The sequence below is a fragment of the Homo sapiens genome, chromosome 2 (assembly GCF_000001405.40).
Source record: "Homo sapiens chromosome 2, GRCh38.p14 Primary Assembly".
Classification (NCBI taxonomy): Eukaryota; Metazoa; Chordata; class Mammalia; order Primates; family Hominidae; genus Homo; species Homo sapiens.
The window spans coordinates 234,742,974-234,770,792 of NC_000002.12; the positions used below are offsets into that span (position 1 = coordinate 234,742,974).

Here is a 27,819-nt window from a genome sequence, read left to right on the forward strand (position 1 = left end):
TTTCTCAGAGATTCCTTTAAGAACCATCTCCATGAAAATCATTTCTGAACTTTCTATAAAACTTCACAAAACATTAGTCATTAATTTGCTTAATGTTCCCTTCAGAAGGATCCACAAGATAAATTCCTCTCTGAATTTAACACCCCAAAAAAGTCAGCCTTCTGAAGAAATGGTGTCTAGCAATGAGAATTATATAACTTGTCCTTAGCTTTAGCTCCTAGGGCTGAAAGTTTTGTGTCTACTTCAGGTAGGTTAATAACTGGAAGGACCTTCAAGCTGATGAACACTCTTTGAGTTTTTGTTAATGCTTATTCAGGAGATGAAAAGTGATTTATTCTCTTCCTTTTCTAATGTCAATTTTAAGTGGATATTTATTCTCTAGGACATGAGTTGCATTTTTTTTACTTTTTTATAGACCTGTTTGTTCGAACAGGTCTGTGAGAAAGTAAATTGTAGGAAAGTGTTCACTTATTTTTCTATATGCATAATCAAGTATCGGAATGCTCAAGAATTTGTATCACAGCTAAGATACTGCCACTGTAGGAACTTGGGTCTGAAGTCTCTCTTCCTATGTTTGACCAGCTGGGTAGAACGTGCATTTACTGGTCTTGGTGGTGGATGCAGAACCAGCACAGGGAGCTCAGCCCCTCAGGAACTCCTAGGACATCTTCTTGGTGTGGCTTCTGCCCTCAGGGCAGACTTAGGATGGTGGGTTGGCAAGACATTCTCTAGTTTATTTTTTATAGAAACTCCTGTTCTCAGTAGACTGACTCTTGTCCAGCCAGTTGATGATTGCATTGTACTTGTCTTGAAGTTTCTCCTCTTCCACAGTGGCCTTCTGATTGAGAGCACAGGAGTTCAGTGAATGGTTGAAACCCAGCTTGCCTCTGTGCTTCTCCTCTTCTGCCTGTGCCTCTCATCTTCTTGCTCCATGAACTCAGTATCTTCCTTTCTCAAAGACATCCTTTGTCTTCAACAATCACAAACTTCTTCTCTTTGCCTGTGCTCTGCTCTGCTGACACACGGGGCTTCCCATAGGCCTCAGAGTCATAGTTTAGATCAACTTGAAGAATGCTGTGGACCCTCAGGCAGGTTGTCATTGGTCATTGATTGCTGTCTCATTTTCATAAATCTGAGTAAGTGTATGATGCTGGTTGTCTGAGAAGCAATAAAGTCTGCACTGCTTAGTGGCCCAGCAGATCAGAACAGAAATAATTCCAACAGAGACTTCTATTCCAAAGATCCTTGAGAAAAAAAAAAAAAATCCTAAACATTGCTAGATCTGTGCCAGATTAAATTGTGGTCCAGACAGCTTTATCTAAGTGACAGTCTCATCCTATCATTGAGAAGTCCCACGTAGGTTTCTTATTCTTTGACATATGACAGAGTGCCCCACTAGGGTGATGTTATAAATCTGTGACCTCCTGGGCATGGTGGATCATGCCTGTAATCCCAGCACTTTGGGAGGCCGAGGCAGGTGGGTCACCTGAAGTCAGGAGTTCGAGACCAGCCTGACCAATATGGTGAAACCCCGTCTCTACTAAAAATACAAAAATTAGTTGGAAGTCTTGGCATACACCTGTAGTCCCAGCTACTCAGGAGGCTGAGACAGGAGAAATGCTTGAACCTGGGAGGCAGAGGTTGCAGTGAGACAAGATCATGCCACTGCACTCCAGCCTGGGCGACAGAGCAAGACTCCATCTCAAAAAAATAAAATAAAATGCAATATACAAATAAATAAATAAATCTGTGACTTGATGAGTTTGCTGTTTTGAAGGGCTCAGGTACCAGGGGCCAGTGGACAAGAGACCATTCAGTTCTTCAAGCTGAGGATGGATATGGAGAATCAGTTGCTTTATGGGGCAGGAGGGCTCAATCATATTCATGGTTAGATGCTTGCAGTAAGTGTGGAGGTAACAGAAATCCCTTTTGGTTTTTTCACACTTGAGTTTGGCAATGACATCATTGACCATTCAGTTGTCAAAGTCTTCTTTAACTCAAGTGGATTTGCTCAGATGAAGATTTGACATAAAAGATACCATCTTCAGAAGGGAGAATAGATACATCAAAATGCCACTTCCACCTTCGAAGATCAATATAACTCTTTTAACATCAACCTTCTTGTCTAAGCCATGAACAGATGCAGTGAACATTGTCTCATTGATGATTCTGAGCACAGTGAGACTGTTCATGCTTCCAATTAAGAGATGAAATAAGCAGACCCATGATGACAAAACAGTAACAATCCTCCCAGAGGTAGCTTCTGCAATCTTCTCCATGTTTTTCAGAAACGTAAAAGACACCTTCTTGGGATGGAAGCTTTCATTCCCTCACGTGTACTGTACCTGGGATTACTGCCACACGCCACCACCACCACCATCATGTAAGCCCCACCCAAATATCCAAACAGATCCTTAGTGATGAAATGGTCTTGGTAAGCTTCAACCACAGTTTGTTTCATTGCACTATCACTGATCATCCAATCAATTGTTTCGTGCTGGTGAGGACCACAAAGCTTGGGATGGTCCTGTTTTCCTGATCATTGCCTGGATTTCCATGTCCCCCTGCTGGAAGATACCCACATAGCAATATATGGTGCCAGGACCAACAACCTCAGATCCATGTGATATCATTGCTAGTCCTCACCCAGGAGAGCACCAGGCTCCAGGAGGATGGGTCTGGTTGTTCAGCAAGTGGTGTAAAAAAAACAGGAGCTCTGTGTGCTGAGTAGAATAAACAAAAACTGATTTTTGACAAATAAAACATTTATATCTCTTTATATTCTAAACTAGATATTTATTTCACACTAGACATAACATTACATTTTAACTCTTCAAAATTATTTTGCATCTGACAGTTTTCCCGTCACTCATAACTGAAGTGCATTAGTCACACTTATTAAGAGTAGAGATGATTTTACGTAGCTAAAGGGTCTTCTTCCTAATAGCCTCAGAAATGCTTTTCTTTTTACCTTTCATGTTGGCCACACACAAAAAAAATCCCAATTTTCTTATAGCTCTTGTTCTCATTTCTATTTTCTTTTATAATTTTTAAAATTATGTCTCGTCTTTTAAGAGTTAGGTGAGTGCAAAAGTAATTGTGGTTTTTTGAATTGTTGGAATTTGCCATTTGATATTGGAATACATCTTTTAAAAATGTGGTTATGTTATACATTGTTTTAATAGGCATTTCTTGCTTTATGTCTTTTTGCTAATGACTTATTACTTGCTGTTTATTTTTGTGTTTATTTTAGACTATGGAAATGCTGTTAGACAAAAAGCAAATTCTAGCGATTTTCTTATTCGAGTTCAAAATGGGTCATAAAGCAGTGGAGACAACTCACAACATCAACAACACATTTGGCCCAGGAACTGCTAAAGAACGAACAGTGCAGTGGTGCTTCAAGGAGTTATGCAAAGGAGACAAGAGCCTTGAAGATCAGGAGCATAGTGACTGGCCATCAGAAGTTGACAATGACCAATTGAGAGAAATTATCGAAGCTGATCCTCTTACAACTACACCAGAAGTTGCCAAAGAATTCAACATCGACCTGTCTGTAGTCCTTCGGCATTTGAAGCAAATTGGAAAGTTTAAAAAGCTCAATAAGTGGATGCCTCGCGAGCTGAGCGAAAAAAAACAAACAAACATCGTTTTGAAGTGTCATCTTCTCTTATTCTATGCAACAACAACGAACCATTTCTTGATCAGATTGTGACATGCGACGAAAAGTAGATTTTATAGGACAACCAGTGATGACCAGCTCAGTGGTTAGACCAAGAAGAAGCTCCAAAGAACTTCCCAAAACCAAACTTGCACCAAAAAATGGTCATGGTCACTGGTGGTCTGCTGCTGATCTGATCCACTATAGCTTTCTGAATTCTGGCAAAATCATGACATCTGAGAAGTATGCTCAGCAAATTGATGGATGCACCAAAAACTGCAACACTTACAGCTGGCATTGGTCAACAGAAATGGCCAATTCTTCACAACAATGCCCTACCGCACACCACACAACAAAGGCTTCAAAAGTTGAACGAATTGTGCTACGAAGTTTTGCTTCATCTGCCATATTCACCTGATCTCTCACCAACCAACTACTACTTCTTCAAGCATCTCAACAACAGGTCTCATCTTTTAAGAGGAATCTTAAATGTTTTAAGTTTAAAAAAATAACATAAATGACTCATTCCTATGAAACAGGATGACACCATTTGTTTTTTGGCTCCAGGATTTCCAGAGACTACATCAGCCCCCTTCCAACAAATTTCTGTTTGTTGGAATCTAGTTAAAGGCAAGCCTGTTATTGTGCAAAGTTCTCAGCAGAGACAGATCTAGGCCAAAGAGAAACTATTTCTCCATGTTTTGTTTTGTTTTCTTCAGGAAGGTGACATCTGCTTCTGCAGGAATAGCATCTTATCTACACTCTTTTCTTCACCTGTGTGAAGAGTTGCATAGGGAAACCTGAATTAATTAACTGTGCCATATTTCCAATTTATTCCAGGGATGTTTATGACTTCTTTATGAATTGGTACCTGCTTCTTGCTCTGGCTCTTTTTTCTAGAACAGAGCCTGGTATATATTAAATCCTTAGTAATTGTTGCTATATGGTTGCAATTTTTTTTTTTTTTTTTTTTTTTTTTGCCATTCTGCTTTGCTCTCTTTTGCCTATACTCTTGAATTTTCTCACTTTCTTCCTCGCTCCCTCCTGTGATTGCTCCTTTGCACACTGTGTTTCCTGAGATAACTTACATGTAATTGTGGCCAGCAAAACTGGAGTCAAGGGACACCCATAGTTTACGAATGGTGGCAGAAAATGTGGTATTTAAACAAGGGTTGGGATAGAGTCACCTAACGGATTCATTAGTCAGTGTATTAGTCCATTTTCATACTGCTATGAAGAAATACTCAAGACTGGGTAATTTATAGAGAAAAAGAGATTTAATGGACTCATAGTTCCACATGGCTGGGGAGGCCTCACAATCATGGCAGAAAGTGAAGGGGGAGCACAGGCATGTCTTACATGGCAGCAGGCAAGACAGCATGTGCAGGGGAACTGCCCTGTATAAAACCATCAGATCTCATGACACTTACTCACTATCACAAGAACCACGAGAACAGCATAGGAAAAACCCCCACGGGGTCCCTCGCATGACACATGGGGATTATGGGGGCTACAATTCAAGATGAGATTTGGGTGAGGACACAGCCAAACCATATCAGTTAGGAAGCTGTCCCTTAAATGGAGGACAAAGTGATTTCCCAAGAACTGCTTCTTCTCATCAGAGGATCTTAAGCAACAGAGAGAGTTTAACTCCTGACTTCACCCACAATAGTAGGAGGCTGGGTCCTTGGCTCATCAACAATCCAGTCATGAGGAGGGAGCAAAGGACAGGCATGTGTGTGTCAGCCAGAAGATGGATATAACCAGAGGTTTTCCCCCTGACATCAAGAGATACAGAGAGGTGAAGGTCCAGACTGTGGTGGAATTATGTCCAGTGACACAGAATTTTGTGCTAGGCACTGAGAACAGAGAGCTAAATGGAATTGACACAGTCCTTGACATCACAGTGCTTACCATCTTGGCAAAAAATAAAGAAAGATATATAGACATTTATTTCTGATGTATGACTGAATGATCCGGGGACTCCCCATTCCCCTGCTGAAACAAACAAGCAAATCCTGAATAAAATATCATTGAAAATGCACTAATAGCCTGGGAAAAAAAATAATGTCCTCCAAGAATTCATGTCTTCCCAATACCTTGTGAAGGGAAGTAAGGTATATAACTAACAAACTAGCAGAGGTGGGAAATGAAATAGGAAAACTACTCAATAATAAATCCAAAGAAAGGGAGAAAGGAGGGGGAAACATAGAAAAGGGAGGATAATAGAAAGTACAAATAAATATGGTAGAAATAAATCCAAATATATTAATAACTACAATTTTTGAAGGGAATGTGATACTACAGGTTTAAAAATATCAAATTACATTTTTAGATCAGACTAGATTTTTTTTAAATCCACCTACCTCTACTTACAAGAGGCACACCAAATTATATGTCAACAAAGATATTGAAAGTAAAAGGTTGAAAAAAATATACCAGGACAATGTTAAACAAAAATTAAACTATGGTATGTAATTAATAACAGATAAATCAACCTTAGAAAAGTATTACTAGAGATAAGAGTATCTTAGTCCATTTGTGCTGCTATAACAAAAATACCTGAGACTGGGTAATTTATCAAGAACAGAAATGTATTTCCTGCAGTCCTGGAGAACAGGAAGTCCAAGATCAAGACTTCTGTCTGGGCGCGGTGGGTCATGCCTGTAATCCCAGCACTTTGGAAGGCTGAGGCAGGCAGTCACGAGGTCAGGAGTTCGAGACCAGGCTGGCCGGCATGGTGAAACTCTGTCTCTACTAAAAATACAAAAATTAGCCGGGCATGGTAGTATGTGCCTGTAGTCCCAGCTACTGAGGAGGCTGAGGCAGGAGAATCGCTTGAACCCAGGAGGTGGAGGTAGTGGTGAGCCAAGATCACGCCACTGCACTCCAGCCTAGCGACAGAGTGAGACTCCATCTAAAAAAAAAAAAAAAAAAAAAAAAAATCCATACTTCCACAGGCTCAGCATCCCCTGAGGGCTGCTCTCTACTTCCAAGGTGACGCCCTGTCGCTGCATCCTCCAATGTGGACAAACACCACATCCTCTCTTTGCATGACAAAAGAGATAGAAGGGGAAAGAGAGCTGAACAACGCATGAAGCCTTTTTTATAAAGGTCACTCACATGACTTAATCACCTTTAAAGGCCCCACCTATTACCATCACATTGCTGATTAAGTTTCAGCACATGAATTTGGCAGAGGTGTGCCATATAATGCTAAAAGTACAGTTCATCCAGTAGATGTACCCATTAACAAAGCTTAAAAATATAGACAACAAAAATTTGACAGAACTACAAATAGAAACAAAAATAGCCTGTAATCCCTGCACTTTTGGGGCTGAAGCAGGAGAATGGCTTCAGGCCAGGAGTTCAAGACCAGCCTGGGTAACACAGTGAGAACCAATTTCTGTTTAAAAAAAAAATACCAAAATTGGCCAGGTGTGGTGGCATGCACCTGTAGTCCCTGCTACTTGGGAGGCAAAGATGGAAGAATCACCTGAGCCCAGGAGTTCGAGGCTGCAGTGAACTCTGATCACGCCACCGCACTCTAGCCTGGGCAACAATGAGATCCTATTTCTCAAAAAAAAGAAAAGAAACAAAAATATCCACTTTTATAGTGGGAGATTTTAACATACTTCCCTCAATAATTAATTGACCAAACAGATGGTTAACGTTAGGTCTAGGGCATAGAAAATACAAGCCTGAAATATTTTATTGTGCCAAGAAATACGGATGTTCTCACAGAATGATGGGAGTATGTCAAAAGAACACAGGAGCCAGTTTGAAGAAGCTTCCACTGGTCAAGTCTGGGATAATTTGAACATCAAAATTTTAAAAATAGGCCAGGTACAGTGGCTCACGCCTGTAATCCCAACACTTTGAGAGGCCAAGACAGGCAGATCACTTGAGCCCAGGATTTTGAGACCAGCCTGGGCAACACGGTGAAACCCTATCTCTACAAAATATACAAAAAATTAGCCAAGCATGGTGGCGCACACCTGCAGTCTCAGCTACTCAGGAGGCTGAGAGATGGGAGGATCACTTGGGAGGTCAAGGCTGCAGTGAGCTGTGATCGTGCCACTGCACTCCAGTCTGGGTGACAGAGTGAGACCCTGTCTCAAAAAAAAAAACAAAAACAAACAAAAAATTGTTAGTGATAGTAATGGAGTATAAGTCTCTGAGAAAAATAGTAATCAATTATCTGAATTAATTACTAAATGCTAACTAATTACTAATTGCTAATTAATTACTAATTTACTGAGCACTGACTATGTACCAGGAGAGTGCCTGGCACCTAGTAAGTGCTCAGTAAATTATAACTGCTTTTATTCTCATTTTGTTATTTGGATATATTATTACTTCTCCCAAATCTTTGGGGCATGCAAAGATTTTTAAGGTGCTAAGGTTTTTAATCAGTCTGTTATACTGTTTTATAAACTGTTACTAAGATAAAATTTTAAAAAAACAGTGTTGAGTAAAATTAATTGAATCAGTAATGATTAATTACTAATTAATTAGTAAAAGTTAGGGAGAAGCTCTTCCTCACAGTAGAATGCCAACTATTAAAGCTAAAAGAAATTATGGGATTAGAAAAATCACAGTTTAGCAACCAACACAGTCTTACTAATTCAAGCAAAAACTATCAGCAGATGAAAATTCTGGAGGGGCAAGTCTGATAAGGAATTAGAATATTTGTATAGTCTCAAAGTGTCTCCCCACATGCTACTTACTCCTTATTAACAAATAAGTTCCTCACACTTAATCAGTTTATTGAACAGCAGAGAAGCCTGACCAACATCATCTTGACTGGGTGATAAAAGAACTTAGTATGCCTAGTAATGGCACACACTGCCAACATCCACATTCCTCCTGATAGAAAACACTGAGACAGACACAGTCTCAGTTCTGTGAGATTCCTGCCAAAAATGCACCACCTGAATTAAATTATGAGAAAACATCAGACAAGCACACGTTGGGAGATGTACAAAGTAACAGGCCTGGATGCTTCAAGAATGTCAAGATTAGAAAAAGACAAGGAATTGGATGGAGACTGAAGAGGCATACCTACCAGGTGCAAAGCTTGATCCTGACTTGCATCCTGGCCTACGGAGGGCACTGTAGGGACAATTAGATGGGGTCTGGAGGATTTGATGGTGTAATGTATCAGTGTTAATTTCCTGATTTTCAGAGCTGAGCCCCACATGCAGAAAATTCCTTGCATGAAGAAAACTGAAGTGTTAAGGGGTAATGAGCCATCATGCCTGCAGCTTATTCTCAGTGCAGCCACTACCAATTGATTGGAGCTAACCCATCAGGAAAAACGCTCTCTGCCATTTTAGAACTATGTGACCTTGCAGTTTTCCTTCCTACCTGCATTTAATTATTATCATGACCAGATTTCCCAGTATCAACAAACACATTCATAGGAGAGATGGGGATAAAATTTGACTTTCCAAATACCTAAGGCTGATTTTGAGATGTGCTGCTATAGAAATAAATGAGAAAAAGAAGTGAAAAACTTAGGAGGAATGGAAATAATCTCTGAGAATAAAACCACCCACGCCTCTCATTTTGCAAAATGCCCCTTGCCTGAAACTGATGTGCTTTCTTCTGCCATAGACCTCAGTCACAATGGGTCTTCTTGCTTTAAAGGCAAATAACCTTCATATGGCGTGACTTCCCAAATACTGGTTATGCTCCTAAAATTCTCCATTACAAGTGAATTCCTAGCACTTCCTAGACAGCATGCTGTCGTGGAAAGAGGAGACTAGGGTCAGTCTGTCTGAGCTCCATGCCCAGCTCACCCAATTCTCAGCTGTGAGACCAGGGACAAGTGACTTCCTATTGCCCAGGTCAGCCTCTCATCTAGAAAGCAGGGTAAATACAAATGGCCTCAGAAGATTTATGAGGCTGCAATGCAGCCCCACTGTGGGCTGAGTGGTAGAGTGCCTGGCACATATAGCTGCTTTTATTCTCATTTTGTTATTTGGATACATTATTACTTATCCCAAATCATTTGGAGCATGAAAAGATGTTTAGGATACTAAGGCTTTTATTCAGCCTGTTATACTGTTTTGTAAACAATTACTAAGATAACAAATTTTAAAAACAGTGTTCTGAATAAAATAAATGTCAATGCAATTTTGTCATGTTGCTCACAGAACTGACCCTGTGTCTTCTAGGCTTTTCCCCTTCATTTTATGAATTATGTGTTCCTTCGACATCAAATAAATGCCCAACTGTTACCAGTTGAAGGTGTCCAGGTTCTTGGCATCAAAGAATTGGACAAAATGCACAAAGTAAGGAAAGAATGAAGCAACAAAAGCAGAGATTTATTGAAAACCAAAGTACACTCTACAGTGCAAGACTGCGCTGCAGCAGAGGGGCCAAAGAGCCCAGATACAGAATTTTCTGGGGTTTCAATACCCTCTAGAAGTCTCCCACTGGTTACTTGGTGTACACCCTATGTAAAGTAGTGACCCACAATCAGTCTGATTGGCTGTGGAAAGCAACCAATCAGAGACTGAAGTTACAAAGTTACACTCCTATGCAAATGTCTAATTGGTTGCATAAAGCAACCAATCAGATATACTTTCAATTTTCCATCTGCTACACAGATGGAAAGAGGGACGGGGTTTGCAAAGGGACTAGCCTCCCATCCTTTTGTTACTTAGGTGTGGAAAGTTGGTGTTTTCCTTTTGATTTAGTTTTAGGAAGTCAGCGTGAATTGGCCTTAGGTTCCCTGCCTCCAGACCCTATTCTCCGGCCGGCAACCCTCACCTTGGGCAGACCTACAAGAGCCCTGACATTGTGCACCTGCTTATGTGTGCGTCGTCTCCCTGGAAGGGGCACAGGAAGCTGATGATGGTGGTTGCCCCTGGGAAATCAGCTGGGTGGATGGGCACAGTTGGGACAGAGATGTCCTCTTCACTTTATACCCTTTTGCAGTTCGGAATTTTGTGCCCTATGAATCTCAGACATATTAAAATAAATAAATAAAATCAAAATGTAAAGATTTAAGATTTTAAAAAATTAAATCCTAGTCCTGAAACTCTCCAAACACCTTCTCCACCGACTGACTTGAGTCATATGTTTAAAGATCATACTTTCTTTATCCAAATGTGAGCAAACACATAATTCTTTAAATGTTGCATTACTGAGTTAGCAGGAAATTAAAGTAACATAGTGAAACCTAAGCACCAAATGTCAGTGTTCACTCAAAAAGAAACATGATCTATTCTCTTGAGAGTTGGTGAGAATGTGGAAGAATGTGAGGAATATCAGGCCAGTAGGGAGCTGAGGTGGGAGCCACAGCCAGGCAACAGGAGGCAGCCAGGCAGCCCCATGGTCGGGCTAGATAGGTCTTGGGATTTAAACGAGCTTGATATAAAAATCGAAAGTAAATCCACAAGTATTAGAATTTTACATTGGACTAACTTACAATTGGGAAGCCTTACAGTATAATAATAATAATGTATGTGGCTATAATCAAGATCTTTTCTAATTAGCTAGGAATTGTACCGGGCTTATAACAATTAGAGGTGCAAGACAGCACAGGAATTTATCATGTATGCACACGTGTGTGCGTATGTGTCTATGAAGTCTGGAATTTGCAAATTAACCAGACAGAAAGGCCTCCAAAAAGCGCCAGTCACGTCTGACTACACAAGGGAAACCTAAGAAGGGAGAGAGCGGGTGAGGGAAAGTGAGTGGGAAAGACAGAGCTGCTCAGAGAGAAGGAATGTCTGTGGCTTTGAGGGGTGAGGGGACAATTCAGGGAGCCAGTCCCCCACAGAAAGCCCCGACTGACATGATCCTCTCTAATGCACACCGGAGATGAAACCCAACACTGACACTCAGGAGTGACCAACCAAGAAGACTGCAGCCTGAGGAGAGGAGAATCTAGGTGGAAAGCTGGATGCGGTGGTTTGTGCCTTTTGTTCCAGCGACTTGGGAGGCTGGGGAGGAAGGCTCGCTTGAGGCCAGGAGTTTGAGAACAGCCTGGGCAACGTCGCAAGATCCTGTGTCCCTCCCTGAGAAAAAAAAAAGAAAGAAAACAAAAGAATTCAGGCTAAAATCACACACTCACTAGGGAGGCAATAACTTGTGGCCAAGACCCCAGACTCCCAGATATCCTTCCCGCACACAGGAGTTAAGAGGGAGCCCAGACAACCACCCCACCTGAGCGCCTGTCATTCTAATCCAAGTCACCTTCAATCTCTTGCTGGAGTTCTTGTATAAGTCTTGTAATGTGTCTCCCTGCTTCTATCCTGGTGCCCGACAGAGCTCTCAACACAGCATCTGGGGGATCCTTTAAAAATTAAATCTTGTCCTTGCGATAGTTTACTGAGAATGATGATTTCCAATTTCATCCATGTCCCTACAAAGGACATGAACTCATCATTTTTTATGGCTGCATAGTATTCCATGGTGTATATGTGCCACATTTTCTTAATCCAGTCTATCATTGTTGGACATTTGGGTTGGTTCCAAGTCTTTGCTATTGTGAATAGTGCCGCAATAAACATATGTGTGCATGTGTCTTTATAGCAGCATGATTAATAATCCTTTGGGTATATACCCAGTAATGGGATGGCTGGGTCAAATGGTATTTCTAGTTCTAGATCCCTGAGGAATCACCACACTGACTTCCACAATGGTTGAACCAGTTTACAGTCCCACCAACAGTGTAAAAGTGTTCCTATTTCTCCACATCCTCTCCAGCACCTGTTGTTTCCTGACTTTTTAATGATTGCCATTCTATCTGGTGTGAGATGGTATCTCATTGTGGTTTTGATTTGCATTTCTCTGATGGCCAGTGATGATGAGCATTTTTTCATGTGTCTTTTGGCTACATAAATGTCTTCTTTTGAGAAGTGTCTGTGCATATCCTTTGCCCAGTTTTTGATGGGGTTGATTGTTTTTTTCTTGTAAATTTGTTTGAGTTCATTGTAGATTCTGGATATTAGCCCTTTGTCAGATGAGTAGGTTGCGAAAATTTTCTCCCATTTTGTAGGTTGCCTGTTCACTCTGATGGTAGTTTCTTTTGCTGTGCAGAAGCTCTTTAGTTTAATTAGATCCCATTTGTCAATTTTGGCTTTTGTTGCCATTGCTTTTGGTGTTTTAGACATGAAGTCCTTGCCCATGCCTATATCCTGAATGGTATTGCCTAGGTTTTCTTCTAGGGTTTTTATGGTTTTAGGTCTAATATTTAAGTCTGTAATCCATCTTGAATTAATTTTTGTATAAGGTGTAAGGAAGGGATCCAGTTTCAGCTTTCTACATATGGCTAGCCAGTTTTCCCAGCACCATTTATTAAATAGGGAATCCTTTCCCCATTGCTTGTTTTTCTCAGGTTTGTCAAAGATCAGATAGTTGTAGATGTGCGGCATTATTTCTGAGGGCTCTGTTCTGTTCCATTGATCTATATCTCTGTTTTGGTACCAGTACCATGCTGTTTTGGTTACTGTAGCCTTGTAGTATAGTTTGAAGTCAGGTAGCATGATGCCTCCAGCTTTGTTCTTTTGGCTTAGGATTGACTTGGCGATGTGGGCTCTTTTTTGGTTCCATATGAACTTTAAAGTAGTTTTTTCTAATTCTGTGAAGAAAGTCATTGGTAGCTTGATGAGGATGGCATTGAATCTATAAATTACCTTGGGCAGTATGACCATTTTCACGATATTGATTCTTCCTACCCATGAGCATGGAATGTTCTTCCATTTGTTTGTATCCTCTTTTATTTCATTGAGCAGTGGTTTGTAGTTCTCCTTGAAGAGGTCCTTCACGTCCCTTGTAAGTTGGATTCCTAAGTATTTTATTCTCTTTGAAGCAATTGTGAATGGGAGTTCACTCATGATTTGGCTCTCTGTTTGTCTGTTATTGTTGTATAAGAATGCTTGTGATTTTTGCACATTGATTTTGTATCCTGAGACTTTGCTGAAGTTGCTTATCAGCTTAAGGAGATTTTGGGCTGAGTCAATGGGGTTTTCTAGATATACAATCATGTCATCTGCAAACAGGGACAATTTGACTTCCTCTTTTCCTAATTGAATACCCTTTATTTCCTTCTCCTGCCTAATTGCCCTGGCCAGAACTTCCAATACTATGTTGAATAGGAGTGGTGAGAGAGGGCATCCCTGTCTTGTGCCAGTTTTCAAAGGGAATGCTTCCAGTTTTTGCCCATTCAGTATGATACTGACTGTGGGTTTGTCATAGATAGCTCTTATTATTTTGAGATACGTCCCATCAATACCTAATTTATTGAGAGTTTTTAGCATGAAGGGTTTTTTGAATTTTGTCAAAGGCCTTTTCTGCATCTATTGAGATAATCATGTGGTTTTTGTCTTTGGTTCTGTTTATATGCTGGATTACATTTATTGATTTGTGTATATTGAACCAGCCTTGCATCTCAGGGATGAAGCCCAGTTGATCATGGTGGATAAGCTTTTTGATGTGCTGCTGGATTCGTTTTGCCAGTATTTTATTGAGGATTTTTGCATCAATGTTCATCAAGGATATTGGTCTAAAATTCTCTTTTTTGGTTGTCTCTCTGCCCGGCTTTGGTATCAGGATGATGCTGGCCTCATAAAATGAGTTAGGGAGGATTCCCTCTTTTTCTATTGATTGGAATAGTTTCAGAAGGAATGGTACCAGTTCCTCTTTGTACCTCTGGTAGAATTCGGCTGTGAATCCATCTGGTCCTGGACTCTTTTTGGTTGGTAAGCTATTGATTTTTGCCACAATTTCAGAGCCTCTTATTGGTCTATTCAGAGATTCAACTTCTTCCTGGTTTAGTCGGGAGAGTGTATGTGTCAAGGAATTTATCCATTTCTTCCAGATTTTCTAGTTTATTTGCGTAGAGGAGTTTGTAGTATTTTCTGATGGTAGTTTGGAATTGAACAATGAGAACACATGGACACAGGAAGGGGAACATCACACTCTGGGGACTGTTGTGGGGTGGGGGGAGGGGGGAGGGATAGCATTAGGAGATATACCTAATGCTAAATGACGAGTTAATGGGTACAGCACACCAGCATGGCACATGTATACATATGTAACTAACCTGCACATTGTGCACATGTACCCTAAAACTTAAAGTATAATAATAATTTTAAAAAAGCAAAAAATAATAATAATAATAAAATAAAAATTAAATCTTGGCCGGGCGCAGTGGCTCACGCTTGTAATCCCAGCACTTTGGGAGGCCGAGGCAGGTGGATCACGCGGTCAGGAGATCAAGGCCATCCTGGCTAACATGGTGAAACCCCGTCTCTACTAAAAATACAAAAAATTAGCAAGGCATGGTGGCACACCCCTGTAGTCCAAGCTACCCGGGAGGCTGAGGCGGAAGAATCACTTGAACCCAGGAGGTGAAGGTTGCAGTGAGCTGAGATCGCGCCACTGCACTCTAGCCTGGGCAACAGAGTGAGACTCTGTCTCAAAAAATAATAATAATAATTAAATCTCATTATATCCCTCCTCCATTCCTCATCCTCCCCAGCTCCTTATTTCCCTTAGAGAAAAATTAAGCCTTAAGTCTTCAATGACCCCACATGCCCTCCATGATCCGCCTCCCTCCTTCTTCCCCATCTCCTCCTGTCCCCCCATGCTCTCTTCCCTCCAGCCACACTGGCCTCCCTGCTCTCCCTTTGAGGTGCCAGGCACACTCCTGCCTCAGTACCTTTGCACTGGCTGCTGGCTCTGCCTGGAATGCTCTTCCCTGAGATAGCCACCCAGCTCCCTCCCTCACCTCCCCAGGTCTCTCTTCAAATGCACCTTTTCTATCAGGTCAATGGTCCAGCCGATATAAAGAGTATATTGTCAGCTCCCTGAACACTGATCAACTTTTCATCCTTACCACCTTCAAACATTCTACATACTTTCCTTACTTGTTGCTTTTTCATCTTTCTGCCCTACTAGAATATAACTTCTCTAAGAGCAGGGAAATATTTTTTTTTCCACTAATGAACCTAAGTACTTGATCAAAGTTTCCATAACTTTTACTCCCTTAAAGCTTGCAACTAGGCAGGGCCTCATAATTGCATATCTGTTCAGCTGGCCTTTCCTAAAAGTGGTAATATACCTGTCCCATACATCAGATATTCACAAGAGGTCAGGAGAGGGGAATATGCCAACACAAGCAATAAGTTAGAAAAATAATTGCTATGGGGAACTCACTGTCCTCAATCTTTCAGCAATAATGAGAAGGAATGTTTGTAGAGGGTTTTGCAGTTTAGAAAGAACTTGCAGTTCATTTTCTCACTTGAGCCTCTCTGCATCCCTGTGAATTATGCATTAGTATCGTTACACGTACTTTACGTGTGATAAAACTGACGCTAGGAGAGGCCTGAGGTCACTCAACCAGCAAAGGCTCAGGGAGAAGGAAAATGCTGGTCTCAGGACTGTTTGTACCAACACCACGCACCTGCCTTGCCAGAGCAATCAACACAGATGTAAGTGTCAGTGGGATTAACCATTTCAGAGAGCATTTGGTGCTGTTGTTTATTTCCTTCTGCTTGTCTTTTTACCCTTCACTGTAAGATAAATAGAGGAATCACAGAAAGATGAATCTACACTAAAGAAATGTGTGATTTCATGAATTATTATAAAATGAGCCTTGTAAACTTTGCAGCCAACCCAGAAGACCCCCATGGTCCCCATACCATCCCCACACAGCCCCTCTTCTCCCATCAAAAGTAACCATCATCCCAGCTTCTTCGGTAAAAGTTCTCTTGCATTTCTTTAGTTTCACCATCAAGATGTGTATCTTTAGACACAACAATTGTAGTCTTACTCATTTTTTTTTTCTTGAGACAGGATCTCTGTCACCCAGACTAGAGTGCAGTAGCACGATCAAGGCTCACTGCAGCCTTGACCTCCTGGGCTGAAGCAATCCTCCTGCCTCTGCCGCCAAGTAGCTGACACTACAGGTGTGTGCCACCATGCCTGGCTAATTTTTGTATTTTTTTTTCTTTTTGTAGAGATGGGGTTTTGCCGTCTTGCCTAGGCTGGTCTCGAACTCTTGAGCTCAAGCAATCCACTTGTCTTGGCCTCCCAAAGTGCTAGGCTTACAGGTGTGAGCCACCACACCCAGCTGCCTTACCCATTTTTTAAAAACTTGCTCTGAACTTTAAGTCTCTTAATCAACTGATTTCCCTGCCATTCTTTCTCTTCCTTACAATATATCTAATAAAGAATCTAGGCCTTTAGACCAGTTGTATACCCCACAACTGGAGTGTGTGTGTGTGTGTGTTTGGTGTGTGTGTGTGGATGAGCAGGTGTGGGTGTATGTGCACATACACATAAAAAATATCCCTTTGGTTTATACTGATATTTTAAATTCAAATTCAGAACTAAAGGGTTTGTACTTAATTTCTTTTATATTACACCTGTATATCCTGTCTTCCATACCAAGAATCCACACTCTCAAAAACACAAGAGATGATAGAATCAGAGTATTCCACAATTATTCATTTGCTTTATCCCTTATCACACACACAACAGTCTCAGAATATTAACACTAGCACTACTACTTATAAAGACTAATAACAGCAAACAATGTTCCCCCTATTTTGTAGTGGTTGTAACATATATTAATTGTCCATCCATACAGCCAGCACATGTCATCCTCTCTCCCTGTTAACCTTCATGTAGCCCTAGTCCTGCAAGTTCATATGTAGTTAGTGCTCACCAACAGTCCTTATGACTCTCTGGTCATTTGGGTTGTTGAAAATCATTTTTCAGTAGCTTTCTGAGGAGGGTCTCACAAGAACAGTATTCTCAGAAGGTTTTCATGTTGATAACAGTTTATTGTGTCCTCTTACACTTAACAGTTTTATTGGATTAAAACCTTGTCTGTTTATTTCTTTTATTGAGTATATTAAATATGTTACTCCATTTTCTTCTGGCACAAAGCAATACAGTGAAAGAGTCTAATGACAATGGAATGTTCTTTCCTTTATAAGTCAAGGGCTCATTTTTTCCTTCTTTTTCTTTAAAGTCCAATAATGGCATTAGAGTGTTTTGGTGTTAGTTGGTCTGCATTGATCCTCTCAGAAGCATAGTGAGTTCTTTCAATACATAATTTCAAGTACGTATTTTTCAATTTCAAGAAATTTTCTTTGCAGTATTGCTTTTAGTGCTAGGTTTTGATGGTCTTTCTCAGAGGCTCCTATTACCCATATTTTGGATCCTCTTTGCCTGTTTAATCTTTATGATGAAATGATTATCTTTCTTATTTCTAACTCTTAAGTCAATAAATCTTGAGTTCTGTCACCACATTCTGAGTTTTTCTCATTTATATCTTGCATATTATTCTTAATGTCTTTTAATTCCTTTTGAAAAGATGTTACAGTTTTGATCTGTTTATTTTAAACATCTTTTCCTAGTATACAAGGATGTTATTCTGCTCTTCTTTTCATAAGTTACTATAGTAACTTAGCATGGAATTTAATCTTGATGTTTTTTGGTTGCTCATCTTTGAGTGAATTCAATTAACCTGAATTTTTAGAATTGTTTTCACATAGTGTTAAATATATATTTGTATACATTGTGTTATTTATGTTAAATTATATATAGAGAGGCTAGCTTTCTGAGATTTTCTGGCTGTGTTTTCTTGCCCTGTTTTTATCTAAACCGTTCTCTTCACCTCCATGTCCACATGATTCTGCTCCAGCAGTTGCTCCTCACTGTAGGGTCCTATCCAGCTAGAAAGTTCCGGCTGGCCAGCGTCAAGTGTTCTCAGGATCAGACTCCTCCAGCCTTTCAGACCTTACCAAGGGCTCTGAGCATTTCTCTACAATCACAGCAGGTAAAATACTCTACTCTAATCTTCTCTTCTCTGGTTGGCCCACCATGCTTTCCAGTGAATAGCTGTTGGTTATTTTGTGGGTTCTCCTTTTCCAAGGTCTGACACCCTGATTCTTCATTCCAATTTATCTCCCAAGAAGCTGATAACACACAAGTCTTGTAGCTACTGGCAATGTGTCCCCACCAACTAAATTTCAGAGGTTATGAAAATATCTTGTCATCTAGCTCTTTTGTAAATGTTGTTCGTTAATTTTGTTTGGCTATGCAGATATTCTGTCTGTTTTCACGTGGGATTTAGGAAGATCTAAAAACTATGTGGCGACTGCACTACCGGCTTCCAAAAATCTTCTACTTGTTTTTTAAAAGAGGAGTGTCTAACCCAATTTGAAATTCTTGAATTGGTAAATTATATTATGTTCTGCTATATTATATTGTATTATATCATATCATATTATATCGTATCTCACATATATATAAACATTAGTAGGGACACTTTTATGTTTCTGTAAGCCAAAAACCTGTCCTGAATCTCTCCCCAATCCAGCAGGCCAGGGCAGTATTTTCCAGTTTTAATGTGCATGTGATACGCCTGGGAATCTTTTTAAATTCAGGTTCCAGGCCAGTGGGTCTGGCGTAAGGCCAGACATTCTGCATCTCCACCAGCTCCTGGGTGCTGTCAGTGGGATGGTCCACAGACCTCATCTCGAGCAATAAAGGTCGAGGTGTCAGCAAGTGATTACTCACTTTTGAAAGATTGCCAATACATACCATGTCTGCTTTTAATGAAGGACCACTCTTAGTAGTTTCCCAAAACATGTAGTACCCTTGTAAGAGCTTGTTCTTCTTTTTAATAATAAAAGAAACTGAAATCCAATACAGACTTCTCTGAGAGCGGTATTCTGCTGCACATTATCACAAACATTCTCTCCTTATTCCTATTATCATTTTTATAAATGATAAAATAGACTCAGATTGATTTGCACATAGGCTGGAATTGCAATGCAAACCTGAATTTTTGACTCCAAATTCCTGTCTCCTTCATCCTACATTGTGCTTGGGAGCATACAATTTCTATTTTGGTCTTTATCATCTTTACCCAATCTTTTCTCTATTTTTATCCAACTTATATATTCATTATTAAATTTTTAACAATTTCTGGCCAGGCACGGCGGCTCACAGATGTAATCCTAACACTTTGGGAGGCTAAGGCAGGAGGATCATTTGGGGTCAGGAGTTTGAGAGCAGCCTGACCAACATGGTGAAACCCTGTCTCTAGTAAAAATACAAAAAAACTAGCCAGGCATTATGGCGGACACCTGTAGTCCCAGCTATTCGAGAGACTGAGGCAGGAGAATCACTTGAAGCCAGGAGGCAGAGGCTGCAGTGAACTAAGATCGCACCACTGCACTCCAGTCTGGGCGACAGAGCAAGACTCCAACTCAAAAAAAAAAAATTAACAATTTCTCTTTGCTTCTTGCAATATGATCATCAGCTTTAAGGTACTGGTTAATTACTTCAGCTTACTCTTGCCCAGAGAAATGCAACTCTGTTACCAAATCAAGAGTTGATTTACTTCATTGTCATCTTGACTCGTATTAAATAAATTATGTTAACTGGCTCTGAAAAGAATTTAGGCATGCATAGAGAATAGCAGTGTTTTTATTGGCGAGAAAAGAAATCATGACTTTTTTAAAAATACCAGACTAATGATTAAATAAATTAACAGTCCTAGGGTTCCGGAAGTGGCCTAAAGCACGTAGTAGCCCTCCTTAGAGCTCACTGCCTTTGTGTTGTAGTTTGACAGAAGCAAAGTTAAGCCTTGCTCGTCCAGTTCCCATGGAGCATGTCCAATCCCTGAAGAGTGTTCGTGGAAATGCACATCTGCAGCCCCACCCTCCGGGTCTGATTGTGTTGGGCTGGTGGGGCCATAGAAACCACATTTTCCACAAGCACTGCAGTGACTCTGATGCTCAGCCCTCGAAGGAAGTCATTAGCAGGCTCAGCCTGGAGGGAGCCCCACAAGACCTCAGGCTCCAGGAAGCAAGTGTGCCAGGTTGCATGGCCATAGCACAGAGGAGTGTGACCAGGGTGCCACTTTTCTCATCTCTCACCATGCCTTTCAGTTTTGTGCAGCAGAGATATCTTCTCTTGGCCCGACTGTAAACTCCGGCATGCTCTCTCATGTATACATAGTCCCAGTCCAGCAGCCATTATAATTTTCCAGCACAGATGTGGGAATGATGCAGTTTCGAAATGCAAACTTCGAGATAACTCATGTATGAGTTTGCCAGGGTTGCTATATCAAAGCACCACAGATTGCTCAGCTTAAGCAACAGGCATTTGTTTTCTCACAGTTTTAGGAGCCGGAAGTCCATGATCAAGGTGTCAACAGGGTGATTCATTCATTCTGAGGGCTGGGAGGGAGGGTCTCTCGAGGCCTCTCTCGGCTTGCAGAAGGCCCTCTCCTCCTTGTGTCTTCACTATGCCTGCCTGTCTCTATGTTCAAATTTCATCTTTCTGTAAGGACAGTCCTGTTGGATTAGAACTAACTCTAATGACTTCATCTTAACTTGATTATCTTCAAAGACCTTATTTCCAAATAAGGCCACATTCTTGGGCACTGGGGGCTAGACTTTGACACCTTTGGAGGCACCCAATTCAAACCATAACAATTCATTTGATTGAAAAGATCTTTGTAATTTTTTTTTTTTTTTTTTTGAGACGGAGTCTTGCTCTGTCGCCCAGGCTGGAGTGCAGTGGCATGATCTTGGCTCACTGCAACCTCCGCCTCCCAGGTTCAAGTGATTCTCCTGCCTCAGCCTCCTGAGTAGCTGGGATTGCAGGCACGTGCCACCACACCCAGCTAATTTTCACACCAGCTAATTTTTGTATTTTTAATAGAGATGGGGTTTTACCATGTTGGCCAGGCTAGTCTCCAACTCCTGACCTCAAGTGATCCGCCTGCCTCAGCCTCCCAAAGTGCTGGGATTACAGGTATGAGCCACCACCTCGCCCAGCCAGATCTTTGTAATCTTAAGAGTAAGTTACAACCTTTAGGAAATGTGGGCTGGAAGCCATTTAAGGAGGTTTGGTTGAATGGAATGTATTTACAGGATTTTCATGATTGCATTACCCTGCTGTGGTTCCTGCTCAGAAGGCCTCCTGTTAACATGTTTATGATGATCCCCCTTGGTTCACCAGGTGCTGAGTTTAGGAGTACCTTTCATGCAACAAGAAAATATTTTTCCCCTGACACAATATCTTGCAAACACTCTAGGAAATATCAGTATTAAGAAAGCTAATTAACATAGGATATGTAAATCGGCATAAAGTCAACATTTGGCAGGTGAATCCGGTAAGCACCTTTGACACAAAGATAAATTCCCAATCTCCTGAGTGTCTATCTGGATGAAATTCAGGGCCTGGGGCTTGGCTCCTGGTGGATGTGGCTACAAGAAGCTGTCCCTTCCCCAGCCCCTCCCCTGGGCCTCCCTGTCCCCACTCTGGGATCCCCAATTCCTCAGGGACACTGACAGATTCCTGCTGTCTCACAGGGACCCCGGCTGTGGGCTGGCTTTTCCAGGGCATCCGCAGTTGTGCTGGCCTTCCTTCCCTGCTCCTGAGAAGCCTGAAGAGGACCCAAAGGGTATTCACAGCCCCCCACCCAGGGCTGGGGGAGAAGCAGCGGTCAGGAGCAGCCCCGCCGTTCCTAGCTTGAGAGCAGCTGCAGAAGGACTCGGCAGGACCTCTTCTCAGAGATTTCAAAGTGTGCAGGGACTTCAGAATGCATGGTCATCAACTGAATAAGGTTTATTTTACAGCTGAACCCACCTGCTTCCCACCCAGCCTCCTCCACCTGCTGCACTCCTTCCTGATTGAGTGAACAGTGCCCGCTTTGATGGCAGCCCCCAGCTGGAAACAAGGGCACTCTACTGGCCTCCCTCCTCCCCTCACACCCTACAGCCAGTCGGTCATCTCATGTGATGTGCTGGCCCCTCTGACCATCCCCACTGCTGTCCTTGGCCCCTCCCACTGCCCTTATTCACCCTTTATTGACTTCCCGTGATGAATCACGACAGCCTCCTACCTGCACACCCTCCCTGGATAAACCTCCTTCCTTCTTCCAGCAGGATCCAGTCCTCAGATGGAATGTAGGACCCGAGAGGAGGCTCCTGCACTTCCTAGCTGTCAGATCTTGGGTAAGATATTCCAACCCTCTGTGTCCCAGTGGCCTCCCCTGTAAAATGAAGAGGAGGATAACAGTGCCTGCATCACTGGGCTATTGAGAGGATGAAATGAGATAATCTATGTAAACCCCTTCACCTAATGAGTGCTCGCTCAGGTGAAGGTAGCTATGATTACGTCCTTCCCAATGTGCTCCCAAAGTAACATCTCCTCATGTCCATTGCAGTACTTACCATTCACAGAATAATTATTTTGTGTCTTTTCATCACTTAATAGAAGAGAAGCCTTCTGAAGGTAGGGAATCTCTTATTTATGTCTCATGCCCAGAAGTTAGGATGGTGTCTGGAATCTACTAGGTCCTCTATGAATATTTGAAGGAGAGATGTGTGGAAGAATGGATTCATAGAAAGGTGGATGGCTGAATGGTGACTAAATCCAACACCATTCCAGTGTTAGAATCATGTTACAACCCAACATGAAACATTAAGACTTTTTGTCGTATTACTTTAGTGGTAAATGCTCAAATGTAGTTTTGTCCTAAAATTAACCACTGATAAATCTTAGAAAACTAAAAGAGAAAGTTTTGATTTAATTAGTTTTTCCTTTTTTTTTTCTCAGTTCATGTTTCTGTTACAGAGGGGAAGTTTCTGAAAGTTAATAGTAGACATGACAGTAAATATTGACCATGAGGAAATGTTTTCACTCTTAATTATAGAGGATGCTATCTTTCTTTCTGCAATAATAGTGTTCTCAATAAAGAACTTTTAAAAATTATTTATATAAAGGAACATAACTTTTTTTAAAAAAACAGTATTTTGTATTGTGCAAACTGCAATCTTTATATCTCAGCTCTGTCTTTTAATAATAAGGCTTGATGCATGTGTGCAAAATACAGCAAACGCAGTTTCACATCATGGCCAAAACCATCTGAACTACCATCAAACTAATCCAAACAAGGCAAGGAAAGCATTGTCTTTAAGACTTAAATGGTGTAGCCATGTTCCATTTTACAGAAATGCACTTTTAGTCTCTGCAATGGTGAATTTTATGTGATCTTATTGGTTCTGTTTCCCTGGAGAACTCTAATACAATATCTTTTGTAAAATTCTAAATGGGTTTTTTTTTCAAATGCATAAATGATTAAACCTTAATTTGGGGGTGATTCCTATGAGATGAGTAACAATGGGGAAGATCCGCATCAGCATGGCGGGCCCTGACACAGCTTGAGATCACCCCAGTCTTATCTAACCCGCTTCTGTTGACTGTCTACTCCCTGTAGACACAGTACTGGCTTCTAGGTCGCCTGTGAGCAAATCTCATCAAATTCATCTAAATGACCACCAGGCATGAACCAGGATCACATTCTTAAAGGATTGCTGAGGACTTCAGAGTACAGTACTGGGCCTCTAAACACCCACATGCGCCCCCCAAGTGAGGGGAGGATCTTGGCTCTATCAGCTACCACTTCCAGCTCTGCTCCTAGCAGGCGCCATCCATTTGTCTGCCCCTTTGGGAAACTCCTTCCAATCACGTGGTTCCACTGGGAGCTGCTGTCTTCCTCCAGAACCTGACTCCCTGGCCACAGTGGTGGTCTAGGGCTGAAATGCCCACCTGGCTGATCACAGGGCTCCAATCTCTGCTCACAGGTGACTGATCCAAATGTAAGAACCTACACACCATGATTCAAGCCATCTTTTCCCAGGATTTTCTACCAGGAATCAAGGGAAGCCAGTCAGTTCTTCTCGAGTGGCCAAGATGGGCTGATGTGAGCAGCCAGGTCTCCTGCCCTGTGGGGCTGGGAGGAGAGAGAGCAGCCCACTCCGAGGGGCACTGACTAGGAAGAAGGACAGAGCCCAAATTCCACCATTGCCAAGGCCAGCTGGGCTTTCCTCCCTGAGGGGGGTCACAGGAAACACCTGCCCCTTTGCTGGAGCTACTTGGGTTGGGTCTTCATTGGCAGAAACCAAAGAGTCACTCTGATTAGTTCTAAACTACAGGAGCCATTCAGTCTTCTGGGCCTCAGTGTGAACTGGGAATGGCCACACCTCCCTTGAAATCTTAACACTTATGGTGGAGAGTGAGCTGAATGTGTGTGAACTGTGCACACATTACCTTCCCCATGGATCCTATGAAGAGCAGATAAGACTTTATAACCCAGAAAAATAGGAAATGTGTCAGATGTTTACTTATTTTTCTAATCATAATTATGAAAGTTGAGGTTACTTGGGATCCTGTTGTACTAGAATGAGGGATGTGATTGGATGGATTACAAAGCTCATGCATGCACACATAAAACAAACATAAGCAGACAACCCCTTGAGATGGTATATGCATGTCCTAGAATGACTATGACAAAGGACTGTAAAACTGGGTGACTTAAAACAACAGAAATTTGTTCTCTCATGGTTCTTGAGATGGGAAGTCCAAAATCAAGGTGTCATATGGCCAAGCTCCATCTTAAGGTCCTAGGGAGGAATCCTTGCTTGGAGGATCTTAGGCAAGAAATAGCACCTGGTGGCTCCAGGTGTTCCTTGATTTATGGCGGCATCTCTCCAACCTCTGCCTCTGTCCTCACACAGCCTTCTGCCCTCTGTGTCTGTGTCTTCATGGGGTATTTGTGTGTTCGTTCTCTCTCTCTCTCTCTCTGTCTTTTCTTATAAAGACACCCGTCACATTGGAGTAGGCCCACTCCAATCCAGGATGACCTCATCTTAACCAATTACATTTGTAGCATCTCTGTCCCCAAACAAGGTCACATTCTGAGGAACCAGGGTTTGGACTCAGACACATCTTTTGGGGACACAATAAACACACTATGATGGTGCACTCATTTTCCAAACTTCTTAGTGACAAAAAGTAAAGTAGTGGTAAAGTCACCACTGCAGCAAATGTCACCCTGGTCAGGCACCAGAGCACACTGCTCCCTGCTTCAAGCCATGCCCTGGAACATCAGGGGAAAGGATGAGATTGGGGTCATGGAAGTCCTCAGACGGGGCTCCCAGAAGAACCCCAGCAGCCACCACAGAAGGGTTACGCCTGCCTTTGCCTCTGGGGCTCCAAGTGCAGGTCCGCCTGAGACAAGACAACACACTCAGATCTAAAAAATCAGTGGAATCCTCTTGTTCCTCTTAGGTTCATGCAAAGCCAATTCAAGAGTCTGGCCAACTCGTTCCTCTCTGAATGAAGTGAGCTTTGGAACATGACCCACCATTTGAGAGTTAGTCATGGGGTGGTGACTGCCAGACACAATTCTACCCCTCCCTTTCCTTTCTAAAATAACCCCAACCCCTGTTGGTACAGCCGGGTACAGAGACAGCCTGCGAGCCCATCCCAGCCATCACAGCAGCAATCACAGGGTTCAGTCCAGGGCTGGCCATGACCCCCGAGCCGTCACCTTTCCCAGGACAAATGCATGTGTGCTGGTAGCAACAGTTGCTCTCTCCTGCAGTTTCAAGTTGGGAGGCTGTGAAGCTGGGACTCGATTCACCCTCTTCCTCCCCTGAGAAGAAGGTTTGCCCTGGTCTCACTGAGGCCCTGGCCCCTGAGCCTGGTTCTGCAGACCTGCTGGCTCTCCATAGCTCCCATGGCGCTCTGTTTCTACTCCTGAGACTTTCAACCTATTTGTACCTTGGTTCTGATACAACCTCCAGTGTCACTCCTATTGAGACTTGCCCATAGAGCTGGCCCTAGAAGTGGACGCCATCTGCCAAGGACAGTCCCCACTCCAGCCACTACCACCTCCCTCCATCACCTGCCCCACAAATACCTTAGGTGTAATACATTTTAAACTAATTTAACATTAATTAAGGCTAGGCACTGTGCTCATGCCTGTAATCCCGCGCTTTTCAAGGCCAAGGTGGGAGGATTGCTTGAGCCCAGGAGTTTGAAACCAGCCTGTGAAACATAGTAAGACCTCACCTCCACCAAAAAGCAAAAAAATTAGCTGGGCATGGTGGTGCGTGCCTGTAGTACCAGCTACTTGGGAGCCTGAGGCTAGAGGATTGCTTGAGCCCAGGAGGTCGAGGCTGCAGTGAGCTGAGATCACACCACTGTACTCCAGCCTGAGTGATAGTGTGAGATCCTGTCTCTAATAAATAAAATAAATTAACAATAATTTTGCTTATCTCCTTAGAATTCAGTTAGTTAATTGGGTAGGCTATTTTTTTTTTTTAAGTTAAGAGAAGTTCAAATGTGGTTTCTTCTGTTCTCCCACTTTGAAAGCCTCCCAGAACTCTTGTTCTTACAGCTGTCCTCAAATCAGGGAGGCATTTCCCATAGATCCTTTGCTGGATATAAATATTTCAGGCCTCACAGTGGATGCCCGTGTAGCTGTTTGAAAGACTCTTTTAAGAGGATCAGATGCGCTTTCTTATGTTTTAGCTTTTGCTCTCTTTTCCTCCCAATAACCTCTGCCCCTCAGCTCATGCCAAGAAGAGCCTGGGAAGCAGAATGAAGTCACAAAAGGAAAATGTGCAGGAGTTGGGAGGGAGGACCCGCACCCCTTTGCAGGGGGTACTTACTGGCTGGGGGAATTCAGCGCTGATAAAAAGAGATCTGTGCTGGGAGGCTCTTCGCCCAGCTGCCGGCTGGGCTGCCTCTCTCTCCACCTTCCCACAGCCTCCCTGAGGCCCTGGCCAGCTGCAGATGCTCACGGCACAGTCAGGCTTTGTGGAACCAGAAAATTAGTGAGTCAAAGGACCAGAGAATTAGAGCAAGTATGTTAATTGGATATGAGTATAGGCCTCAGTGGACGGCTGCCAAGTCCCCTTTCTCCCTGCGCTCTCCATGCCATCCTTACCAGGAGCCCGGAGCTCCCTGCTGTGAGTGCCGCATTAGCCCAGCTCCTACAGCGCGTGATCCTGCACCAGGCCTTGTGTTTGTATCCACTGTCTCCTACTAACCCCACCTAGCAATCCCACCCATCTCCATTCTGAATATAAGCTAAGTGGCTTGTCTACTTTACCCAGCTAGTGCGAGATGGAGCTGGGATCAAGATCAGGTCTGTCTGCCCCACAGCCTGCACTCTGCTTTCTCCTGGGACAGGCCACCAACTTCACTGCGTTACCTGCTGGTGGTCATCATCCTCTTAGCCTGGAGAGTTCCACTTGGAGATGGGTGTAATTGAAAGCCTCCCAGAACTCTTGTTCTTACAGCTGTCCTGTAAG

General features: G+C 42.4%; 1 pseudogene, besides 1 other annotated feature; it reads right to left on the bottom strand.

Annotated features, from left to right (window-relative positions):
• HSPA8P10 (heat shock protein family A (Hsp70) member 8 pseudogene 10) lies at positions 1,736 to 2,606 on the bottom strand (annotated as a pseudogene).
• Positions 21,869 to 23,068: an enhancer, noted in NCBI's record as "CDK7 strongly-dependent group 2 enhancer chr2:235673486-235674685 (GRCh37/hg19 assembly coordinates)". NCBI's record gives its function as "activates an origin of replication core promoter dependent on BRD2, BRD4, P300/CBP, MED14 and CDK7 cofactors, with strong dependence on CDK7, by STARR-seq in HCT116 cells {active_cell/tissue: HCT116}" and the evidence as "EXISTENCE:reporter gene assay evidence [ECO:0000049][PMID:35650434]".